This window comes from Homo sapiens, chromosome 12, assembly GCF_000001405.40.
Source record: "Homo sapiens chromosome 12, GRCh38.p14 Primary Assembly".
Lineage (NCBI taxonomy): Eukaryota > Metazoa > Chordata > Mammalia > Primates > Hominidae > Homo > Homo sapiens.
Window position 1 is genome coordinate 63981959 of NC_000012.12, and position 12537 is coordinate 63994495.

Sequence of the window (12537 nt, forward strand, 5' to 3'; positions counted from 1 at the left end):
ATCCCAGCACTTTGGGAGGCCGAGGTGGGCGGATCACGAGGTCAGGAGATCGAGACAGTCCTGGCTAACACAGTGAAACCCCGTCTCTACTAAAAATATAAAAAATTAGCCAGGCATGGTGGCAGGCGCCTGTATTCCCAGCTACTCGAGGCTGAGACAGGAGAATGGCGTGGACCCGGGAGGCGGAGCTTGCAGTGAGCCGAGATCGCGCCACTGCACTCCAGCCTGGGAGACAGAGCAAGACTCCGTCTCAAAACAAAAACAAAAACAAAAACAAAAAAAAGAAAGAAAAAAAAAACAAGGATGGGAAGTGTTTGATTAGTCAGACTGACAGATCAGGGTCAAAAGTCTCCAGGGGTACCAGTTACTGGCTAAAATCCTTAGATAAAGTATTTATACTCCTTAAACTTCAATTATTCTTTGTAAAATGGAAGATAATACTAAAACCTACTTCATTAGGGCACAGAATAGTAAACACTGAGTTATTATTAGTTATTTTTAAATTAAGCACATTTCCTGACTCCCCATTCAGAACCTGACCACCTTATTCATGGACTTGCTGTGAACTTGCTGTTAATGAACTTGGTTAAACATGGTCAAGTGTATGTATGTATATATTATCAGTACTGGCCTTCTCTATCTAAGAGGAATAGCAAGAAATTTAGAGACATTATTTGGACATTGATTTCTACTAACTCCACTGAATTAGATTCAGCCTTCACTTTTTGGGAAATGCACGGACACTGGGAAAGATGAAATGAAGAAGTTTTCCAGCATGATGTTCTTGTCTTTGGAGCTTAGCCTTACTTAGGTCTTAGAACAAAAACAAGTCGGTAGTTATTAGTTACTGTATCTCATTTTCCAAAACACACGTTTCTTTGTTACAGTCATTTACACATATTTTTGCATGCCACATTTTTGCTTTTGAGCTTTTGCTGAATCACTAAATGACCACCTTTCATGTTCCTAATGTATTAAAATTATCAGAGGATTCTTTGAGGATTAAATGTGTCAGTAAGGGTATTATTTTGAACAATGCGTAAAAGGTGAAGGCCAGCTGAAGAGGCCTTTTTGTTGTGAACAGAATAATATACTGGAATCTGAGGACTGCACTGTTATGAATGGATTATTTGGCTATGGAAAGAAGTTATTTTTAGGCACAGCATCCCTATAAGCCCTGAAGCTATGTGTTTTACAAACTAGAAATTATGCACTAAATAAAAATTACCAGATGTCAGTCTCTGTATGTGCCAAATGGCAAATGTGTAATGGTTCAGAGCCTGGAAGAAATGATGCTTATTTCTTTGCCATTCAAACTCAAAAGGGATAGCTGAGGTAGAGTGCTGTTGAAAAAATTGCAGTGTTTCCAGCTACCCAAAGATGTTACGAATTGTTATCTGAAAGGCTTTCATTCTTTCCCCTCATGGCTCGTTGTGTGTTTGTGGCATTACAAATGTAACCCACATATTTATTCTAATTTATTACATTCTTTCCTGAGGCTCCTCTTGTTCTTTTAAAGGGTCAGCAGATAACTTATTTTAAGAATCAACCTGGACACAGTATTCTAACAAAGGTCCAATACAGAGCTAAATAAATAATAGGAGTCATAGCCAGACACAGTGACTCACGCCTGTAATCCCAACATTTTGGGAGGCCAAGGCGGGTGGATTACCTGGTGGTGCATGCCTGTAGTCTCAGCTACTCAGGAGGCTGAGGCAGGAGAATCACTTGAACCCGGGACGCAGAGGTTACAGTGAACCGAGATTGCGCCACTGCACTCCAGCCTGGGCAACAGAGCGAGACCTCTATCTCAAAAATAAATAAATAAATACATTTAAAATATATATATATATATATATATATATATATATATATATATATATATATATATATATATTTATATATATTTCGTGACTTATATCTTGCACATACCAGCATACCTCATTAATTTTAATGTAACCATCCATTGGCTTCTCTTCTCTCCTTAGAAATTCGAGCTCAACTGGTAGAACAACAAAAATGCCTGGAGCAGCAAACGGAGATGCGAGTTCAGCTTCTCCAGGATCTGCAAGATTTCTTCCGAAAAAAAGCTGAAATTGAGACGGAATATTCCCGGAATCTAGAGAAGTTAGCAGAAAGGTTCATGGCAAAAACAAGAAGCACTAAGGATCATCAACAATACAAGTAAGAGATTTGAATCTAATTCACCTTTCCAAGGGTGATATCCATACTGCCTTTGCCACCTTTGTGGATTTTTTATTTTTCTATTTTTGTCTGAGTAGTGGTTGTAGAGCATATTCTCATAAATAAAAGCAGCCCTCTACATTTGTAACTTATGGGCATCAGTTTATCATTTTAAACTAGTGTAATCTGTTGACACTTTTGTCTTTCCAATACATATATATTTATGGATAGCTTTATATGCCAGAAGAGAAGGTATATGTTTGTAAAATTCTTGATTATAGAAACCCGGGAGTTGATATCTGCTATAGGTAGGACAGATTTAAAATAGGTTTTTGTTCAAGCAAAGACCTCAAATTTTCTCTAGTGAATTTATATGAAAGTAAGCAGTAAGAATTGCTTGAATTTTGTGCCCCCCTTCCTGCCCATCATGTTTATGGTCATTGTAATTGACACTGATTTAAAACAAAAGTTTTAAGGAAAATGCTATGAATGAGCATAAAGTAAGTTTAATTATGATTTATTTGCTTTAAAAAACACACATAAGATGTTCTGCTAATGAAAGTTAATGTATGATTTAAATCCTGGGGACAGGGCCAGGTGGGGTGGCTCATACCTGTAATCCCAGCACTTTGGGAGGCCAAGGCAGGTGGATCACCTGAGGTCAGGAGTTCAAGACCAGCCTGACCAATATGGTGAAACCCCGTCTCTACTAAAAATACAAAAATTAGCCAGGTGTGGTGGCATGCACCTGTAATGCCAGCCACTCGGGAGGCTGAGGCAGGAGAATAGCTTGAACCTGGGCGGCGGAGGTTGCAGTGAGCTGAGATTGCAACACTGCACTCCAGGCTGGGCAATAGAGTGAGAGTCCATCTCAAAAAAAAAAAAAAAAGGCCTCAGGACAGAGAAAGACAAGTAAGCAGACAACTCCAGTGAAATATTCAAGTGCTCCAACAGGGGAAGGCGGGGGAGACCCTGGACAGACCCAACTGATATCTGTTCTGCATTGGAGGTGGGGAAGGGAAGGTCCTGAAAGAAGTGGCATCTAAGCAAAGACCTGAAGGACTAGTTGGTCAATAAAGGAGAGAAGAGGAGGATATTCCAGGCAAGGGAAACATCATGGGCAAGGGGCCGGCAGGGAATGTACCACGCCTGGCTAAGGGATGTACAGCAGGTTTGCAGAACAGAAGTAGTCCAGTGGGAGTGAGTAGGGAGGCGATGAGCTGCATGGCTGCAGGTGTGAATCAGAGGTCATGGGGACCTGGGGATCTTCCTGGCCAGTTGGGACCTTTTCCTGAGGGCATGAGAAGGAACACTGCAGGTAGAGAGAAGTTGACCTGTTTTGGAGATAGTAAAAAGACAGTGCAGGCTTTCATTTCTGTAAATACAGCAGGCCAGATCATCTGAAAAACATGTCTATCTGAAAACTCTCAGAAATGCTGGTTAACATATAATGGACATCCTTTTACATATAAATTTCTAGGGGCCAAAAAAAGAAGAGGGAACTGAAAACCTAAGTGGCAATTGTATCCACCCTTTAATTTCACTTGGGGCAGAGAAGATAAGGTCTGTGCCAAGTAAAGACTTGGAACTGAGAGCTTCCTCCCCACCAACCCCATTGCATTGCATCCCAGAACCAGAAGAGCTACTATCTCAGTGAAATGGTAAAACAGAAACCCCTCTACCCACCTTCACAGGGCACAACAAGAAGACCTGGCTGCTCAGCCTGGGCTCCTGTTTGGAAGGGGCTGTGGAGAAGCATGCCTTTCTGTCACCATTGGCTTTGCAGTTCCGTTCATTTCACACCTCTCCATGACCTTGGACCCTGCATAAAAAAATGGGATGGGAACTATCCCTGGGCTACTTGTGCAGAAGCAAACACAAAACTATTCTGGATAAGAAATACCTCTCTGTTCTCTTCCTTTCTCTTCTCTCCTCTTCTCTCCTCTCTGTCTCTTCTCTTTTCTCTCTTCTCTTTTTTCTTCCTCTCCCTTTCACTCTCTCTCTCCTCTCTTCTCTTTTTTCTTCCTCTCCCTTTCTCTCTTCTCTCTCTTTCTCTCTCTCCCCCCCGACACACACAATCTCTCAACTTTAACCTTTACTGTTGGTCCAGCATAAAAATAAATCTTAATGATGATCCCCAGGGTGAACAAATGTTATATGTATTTAACAGAGAGCGGGGCTGGGAAGCAGAGGCTGGAGCCAGTACTGTATTCACATAGTAACTTAACTGTTGCTTTTAAAAAGCAGTTGTAATTAAGAAGACAGCCCATTCATCTATTCAGTAATTTTTTTTTTTTTTGAGATGGAGTTTTGCTCTGTCGCCCAGGCTGGAGTGCAGTGGTGCAATCTCGGCTCACTGCAACCTCCTCCTCCCATGTTCAAGCAATTCTTCTGCCTCAGTCTCCCGAGTAGCAGGATTACAGGTGCCCACCACCACGCCTGGCTAATTTTTGTATTTTTACTAGAGACAGGGTTTTGCCATGCTGGCTAGGCTGGTCTTGAACTCCTGACCTCAAGTGATCCGCCTGCCTCAGCCTCCCAAAGTACAGGGATGACAGGTGTGAGCCACTGTGCACAGCCCATTCAGTAAATATTTTTTAGTATCTTCTGTGTTTTGCATTTGGTAATTGGTGGCTGTGAAGGGAAAATATGGATGGGTCCATGTACCTTATCTGGCCCCATGGTGGATGGACACGTTTTTGTTTCTCTTGGTTTATTTGGTAGTTTTCTTTAAAAGGTAAGCAGTTTGAAATTTTCTTTAATTTGAGTAAGTTTATTATTGAATATGGGACTGAAGATAAGATGAATATGTCTCTGAAAAGGATAAAACAGGATTGGGAAAAAAGTCAGCCAGACTTGGGTTTGAATATTGGCTCCACTTTGTGACTTTGGTTAAGTTACTTAACCTCTCTGAGCCTTGGTGTCCTAACTTGTAAAATGAGGTTTTATGACCCTTAAGTGAGAAATGTGATAAACTCTTTGATACGATTGATAACCAGCCCAGGATATGCACTTGATATTCCTTCTCCTTTTAACCAAACACATGTTATGTCTTTAGCATGATATCATTACCAATCATTTAAGCTATATTCTGGAGTCTGGTTCTTACTCAGTTTTGGGACACTTATTGTGTAGAACATTCTTTGGCCTAAAGATGCCACTGCATAGTGGAAAGACCAAGGCTTGGTTTAGCTTCCCTGGACTAAAAAAAGACTCTCTCAGACACTAGCTTTGGTCTTTATCAAATCAGTATGCCTTGCTAAGCTTCCATTCTTTCACTGATAGAAAAGATACAAAGGGTCGGGTGCGGTGGCTCACACCTGTAATCCCAGCACTTTGGGAGGCTGAGATGGGTGGATAACCTGAGGTCAGGAGTTCAAGACCAGCCTGACCAACATAGTGAAACCTGTCTCTACTAAAAATACAAAAATTAGCCGGGCATGGTGGCAGGCACCTGTAATCCCAGCTACTTGGGAGGCTGAGCCAGGAGAATCGCTTGAACCCCGGAGGAAAAGGTTGCAGTGAGTCAAGATCACACCATTGCAGCCCAGCCTAGGCAACAAGAGCAAAACTCCATCTAAAAAAATAAAAATAAATAAAAAGAAGATACAAAGAATCTCTGCCTCAAATGGTAGTAATAAGGATTAAGTAGAGTTGATGTCTGTAAAATCTTTATACCAGCCCGTGATAAAACAGCTGACTTTATATAGCACTTACCATGTATACAAGGCATTATTATAAGCATTTTAAAATATATGTTAACTCCAGTGATTCTCATGAACAATCTTATAAGCACTGTTATTTTACCCATTCTACAAAGTAACTGAGGCACAGAGCAGTTAAGATCATTTGCCCAAGATCTCATAGCTAGTAAGGGGTAGTCCTGCATGTGAACCTAGACAGTGCAGCTCCAGAGGCCATGAGCTTGACATGGATATTACTTTTCACAGTAAGTGCTCATTAAATGATAGCTATTATTATTTTCAATATTACTACTACTGCTATTATTACTAAGGCAATAATAATTATTTATGCAATGAGTGAAATAACACTTATTTAATGTTTACTGTGGGGCAAGGCCCTGAGGATATGTTGAAGCATGAAATGTTCTGAAAGAATTTGTGGGTTACTTCAGCAAAGAAGATCTACATGAAAGTTAATAGAAATAAGGTAACATTTACCTTGTTATATAGGGCTGGGTAGATAGGAACTCTCAATAGAAAAGCTCCAATTACCTGTTATAGAACCACTGCTCTTTGCCTGATGGTGTTAAGAAAAAAGGGAGATCTCAGGGTAGAGGGTATAATTCTTCAGTGTGCCAATGGGAAGAATGGGAGGCTGCCCTCATGGGTGCCAAGTGCTAGGAGCCTAAATCAGGCCTTCTTTCCCTATGCCCATTCCTGCTTCCATTGTCTACTTTCATTTTCTTCTAGAGAGGGCATTGACTTAATGCAGTATTAAATCCTGAATCTGAGAGACGTAATGGCAGAGGCCCAACTTCATCATTTCTTTCCTAACTTAATTAATATTCAGAGTCATACATGATCATAAATAATAGGAGGATAACATGTCTGATTAAAGGGTGCTTTTGTTCCTGCATTAGCATAAGGATTCTCTGCTATTTTGCCATTTTACAGTTACTTTTTAAAGAAAAAACAAACAAAAAAATTTCTTTTCTTTGTTTTTGAGACAGAGTCTCGCCCTGTCGCCCAGGCTGGAGTGCAGTGGCACAATCTCGGCTCGCTGCAACCTCGACCTCCTAGGTTTGAGCAATTCTTGTGCCTCAGCCTCCCAAGTAGCTGGGATTACACGTGCCCATCACCATGCCCGGCTGATTTTTGTATTTTTACTAGAGGCGGGGTTTCGCCATGTTGCCCAGGCTGTCTCAAACTCCCAATCTCAGGCAATCCACCCGCCTCGGCCTCCCAAAATGTTAGGATTATAGGCGTGAGCCACCACGCCCAGCTGCAAAAATTTTTTAAAAAGTAATTTTTCTTAAGCTGTATCATCCCAGTTGCTCACTGTTTTTGTTGAGTTATTCTTTAAGATTTTTAAACAGTTTTCTTTTGCTGTTTATATTAACTTTTAGCTTTATTTTATAGAATAAAACAAGGAGCAGTTATGAGTCTGAAACAGTTTAATGGGTTTCAACAGGACATGTGACAAGTCATAAGCCAGCAAACTTCATGGTTCTCTTCATGAGCCTTGAGACAATGCAATAAAGTTCTGATTCCCAGGAATAGTTTTTGGGAGACTGGAGGTTATGTATCAGGGGATTAATAAATAACCCTCAAATTTATGTTCCATGGAATGCATAACTAGCCAAATTTCTTTTCCAGCAACATACTGAACATTCAAAGCAGACTTTGTATGCCGTGGCAAAACCACAGTCTGTCTGGACAGTAGTAGTCAGTAGATTTTTATGTAAACATAAATTGCTTTCTTCAATGGAGCGTTTAAAGCTGAGGGCCTGCCTAAGCACTGTGTATATTAGGGTCCCATGGTCCTTGTCAGGAATATGGATTTCACCAGTGTTCATGGTCCAAGTTTTTCCTTCCAAACCTGGACAATTGCTGGCTCTATGCCATCCACAGGCTGGAAGCCTGTTCTGCTGGCTGATAAGTGTCCTGGTCTGAGAAATGCTCAGAGCAGGATGCACAGCACAGTATCCATCTGTTGTGGTTCTTTAGTTTGCCTTGGTGACTTCACTCATCTGATTGGGGCAACTTTGAAATGGGTGGTAATTCTGTGTTTCTTCACTTCTTAGGAAAGACCAGAACCTGTTGTCTCCAGTGAACTGCTGGTATTTGCTCCTGAACCAAGTAAGGAGAGAAAGCAAAGACCATGCAACCTTGAGTGACATCTATCTGAACAATGTGATTATGCGGTTCATGCAGATAAGTGAGGATTCTACCAGGATGTTTAAAAAGGTACACTCCATAAATCCTGCCATAGTGTGCTTTCCAATAACTGCCTTGTCTATAACCAGGACTGAGAACGGTATCTGAAAAATTAGGTGAATGAATGAATCCTTTAGAGACACAGAATAAACAGTTAAAAATTAGATGAATGGATGTTTTAAAGACACGGAATAAAGAGTTAAAAATTAGGCCGGGCGTGGTAGCTCATGCCTGTAATCCCAGCACTTTGGGAGGCTGAGGCGGGTGGATCACGAGGCCAAGAGATCGAGACCATCCTGGCCAACATAGTGAAACCCTGTCTCTACTAAAAACACAGAAATTAGCTGGGCGTGGTGGCGCTTGCCTGTAGTCCCAGCTACTTGGGAGGCTGAGGCAGGAGAATCACTTGAACCCAGGAGGCGGAGGTTGCAGTGAGCCAAGATCGTGCCACTGCACTCCAGCCTGGGCGACAGAGTGAGACTCCGACTCAAACAAACAAAAAAAAGAGTTAAAAATTAGATGAATTAATCTTTTAAAAATACAGAATAAAAAAGTTAGGTATAAGGCATACTTATAGAGTTATAAGTCAGTGAATCTATGAGCTACACAATGTGAGCAAAAATTTTGATATAAGATGTTCCTGCAAATTGTACCTCTGCCCAGGAACGGACTACCTGTACTCATGAAAAATCAGACCAGAGGGTAAATGCCTTGAATTCTTTGTTTGGGGCTCACACATGATGAGAAACTTGTGAAGAACAAGATTATTACATGTGCTACTCTCTTGAGAAGATGTTAGCACAGTCTTTCTTAGTTCACCAGACCAGCAGTAGAGGCTGTGAGAGAGCGACATGAAGAAAATTTCACAGGGCACAGAAAATTCCATCCCTTACACACCAGCGAGCTTCCTCCTTCCCAAATCCATTAAAAAACAATAACTGGGCTTTGAAGTTTTCTAATCGTTGTTACTAATCTCAGCCAACTCTCAGCAATTTTTTTGTTGTGTGGACATTTTTGCTGAGCACAAATAATAAAATGGGACCATTTCCTGTGCAGAGAATGCAGCTACTTGCCCAGTACGACTAGCGTTCATTTTTTATGCTTGCAAGATGAGAGTTTTCCCCCACTCTCTCAGCTTTGTATTAGGAATGTTGATGCCTGTACCTATACCTGTACCTCTATTCAGTGAGTAATTATTAGTTTCAGAAAGTAGCGGGGAGAAAAACCTCTCTGTAGATTAATGACATATTTATGTTTCAGAGAGGCTCCTTAAAACAAAGACATAGTGTTAAGCAGGCCAGCTGGAAAATTTCTTAGTCATGTTTGATGTATCCACATTAGATTTGATTTCTGACCTAGAAAGGGAATTTAGCAAGCTCTAAGTCACCTTATGCTCCATTAAATAGAAAAACAAATTTCAAACAAAGGAGAAACTTTAAAAATTGAAACTAAGGAGCATACAATTTAAGAAGAGATAAAGAAATATCCTATGCGTCTTAAATAGTAGAGTTTTAAAAAAATAATTTAGACAGAGCTGTGAAAGTGCAATAATTTTCTTGTATATGAGCTCTTTATGCAGAGATCTCGTTTGGTTCAGCAGGTTTTTCTGAGCATCTCCTATGGGCAGGAGACTACGATGACAGGTGCTGAAAAGGCTACAAAGATGAAGAAAATCTATTCCTGGTGCTCAAGGAGGTCACAATTTATCCAAATTTGTATGGCACTATATAATGCTTCTTATTCAGACAGGGCCTCTAGGACCAGTAACTCTACTGAGTTCATTTATTTATCCATTCAACAAAGCATCTTTAAAATGCCTGGCTAGGGGAGCAGAGCTAAAAGACATGTCCCTGCCTGCAAGGAGCTCATTACAGTAATTAACAGTTACTACGCTAAATGGAACTGGAAGGCTGGAGATCTTAACTCTACCTAGGGGATGAGGAAATTGTTCTCAGAAAGGGGAACACTTGAAGTGAGACTTGTAGGAGAAGGAGGCATTCATCTAACAGAAGGACAATGAGCTATTCCAGGAAAGGAGAGCATGAGCATGTTCAGGGAAAGGAAAGAGTTTGATATGATTGGACCAGGGATCGTATGGGAGTGGGTGATGGGATGTGAAGCTAGAAAGGATGGTCATGTAAGAAGGGACTTTGTACGTCTTGCTAAAATGTGAGGATGTGTATTTTGTAAGTCAGAGTCAAGGGCTTGATAAAGTTGATAGAAACCTAGGGCTAAGAGTCAAACAGATTTGGATTTAAATCCCAGCCCTTCTGCATACTTGCTTTGTGATCTTGGGAGATCATTCCAGAGATTCAAGAGCAGGCTCTCCATTCTTGAGGAAGCAAGAAAGGCAAAATTGGGCAGAAGGAGAGGCTGCACCTGTGAGTGCTCTGGGGCTGGCATGGCATTTGGAGTGATCTCATATCCAGGCAAGGAGACTTGGCCTTTGTTTTGGGGAGGGATTAAGTAATCTTGGAGTGAGGCAGCTCCCTTTGGTGGAGGGTAATTCCCAGAGAGGGATCAGCTCTGAGTTTCAACAGCTAGCAGCCGGTATTCCCAGTAGTTGGAGGAATGAGTTGCTGGCTCTTGAGGAATGGCCTGGAGAATGCACAGTAAATACACACACACACACACACACACACACACACACACACACACACACACACACACACACGTGCAGAGAGAGAGACAGAGAGACAGACAAAAACAGATATGTCTTCTTGCTTGCTACCAGGAGTTCTCTTCTTATCCAGATTTTCTGGTTCTCAAAGAATTTCATCCTTGGAAACTGCCTATTTACAGTGGATTCCTGGTTACTTTGGCATTTAGTAGGGGGAATGCTCTATGCTTCCTGATCAGCTTTCTCATTCCTAACCATTGCTGACCACCTGGAAGGGTAACAAGTCATTACAATTACAGGTGTGAAGTTCTGCCTTCCTCGAGCAAACACAGCAGACTACAGACCTTACCTTCCCATCTGTGTTATTGCTGGAAGAGGAAAGAACAAGAGAGGCAAAGGACACAGGGAGAAATCAGAGTTTACGGAGGAGTAAGATCAACCCCTAGGACACATTTGTCATCTGAAAGAATAGGAAGCCAGAATCTATATCTACCAAGTCCAAAGAATTCCAGGTCCCTTTAGATTAGAAAGTCTTTCCTGCCTTTTTTTTTTGTACCCATTTATGCCTGAGGTTGCAATTTTTTTAATTTTTACAATTAGAACTTGGCAATTACCTTGACCAGCAAGATACAAATTACTCCCACATGCTTAGCATTCCAATAGTGGAACACTAGGCATAAATGGGTTTTAATCACCGATCTTCCTCTTTTCTAGCTCTTCTTCCATTGTTATGGTTCTAGGTCAGAAGCCTATTTTCTATCAAAATGGAAAGAAATTATTAGTGTGAATCTGAAGCAGCCTTTAGAACTGCTGTGGAGTCATTAGTGAGCATAATGCTTGTTTTCCTTGGGGAGAAGATTTTGAGACTTCCGCATGTTTCAATAATGTCCCCATGTCTGTATGGAGATCCAAATAAATGCTGTGTGCCTGATAGTTTTGGCCTCTTAAACAGCCATATCTTATACAGTTTAGTCAATGACAAAAAATCATTTACCCAAATTATTCTGTCTGATAAGGAGTTTGGAGCAGGTAATTTCAGGAATTTTTTTCTGTCTAAATGGATATAATAATCAAGAAGACACTTGTAGAAATAATTCCATGCAGAGCTATAGGGAACAGCTTCAAGACTTAAATCTTAATTACATCAGAACCAGTTATAGACATAGTTGCCTAAACTCAAAAGTTTTCAACAGGTTAAAAAAAAAAAAAAGTGAAGCATTTTAAAAATAACAATATTCAACTATTCAAATACTGATTATTTTAGATTTATGCCTTTAAAATTCTAAATGAAGCCTATTGGTCAAAATAATAGTGATTCAGCTTTTAGGTTCTGAAATCAGATATTCTGGGTATGAATCCTGGCTTTACCACTGTTGGGAGCTGTGTGGACTTGGGAATATTTGTAAATACGCCTCAGTTTCTGCAGCTATAAAGTGGATATAGTAATCTACTCCAGATAGTCGTTTAGAGGATTCATGAGTTATATATGGAAAACCACTTAGCCTAGTGTCTGGACTTAATAAGTCCTGGTAACTTTTATCTAATATCTTTATTATTATCTCTATTATAAGCACTTATTCTATATACCTACAATAATTATGTAATGTGAGATTATACCAAATATTATACCAAATGTGTCCTCATTCTAAGGAGAGTATCATAATGATGTGAAAAACCCTTCCAGAGAATCAGTTTTATTTACTACTTATTATGAAGTTCCAAACAATATTTGTAAGCAAACAGTGATAAGTGCCCTCACAACAGCATTGTTTGTGGCTAAATTAAGAGTTTTGTCCTCACCTTTGAACATTTAGTGGGAAATCAGGGAGTATC

At 40.5% G+C, this 12537-nt stretch overlaps 1 protein-coding gene across 4 annotated transcripts in view; it reads left to right on the forward strand.

Annotated features, from left to right (window-relative positions):
- Nucleotides 1-12537, forward strand: part of SRGAP1 (SLIT-ROBO Rho GTPase activating protein 1) — a 317518-nt gene that overhangs the window by 137259 nt on the left and 167722 nt on the right. For all 4 annotated transcript variants that reach the window (NM_020762.4, NM_001346201.2, XM_024449096.2 and 1 more), the window contains exons 2-3: nucleotides 1989-2184; nucleotides 7952-8114. In NM_020762.4, coding sequence (NP_065813.1) covers nucleotides 1989-2184; nucleotides 7952-8114 — 359 coding nt within the window. The remainder of the gene's footprint in view (nucleotides 1-1988; nucleotides 2185-7951; nucleotides 8115-12537) is intronic.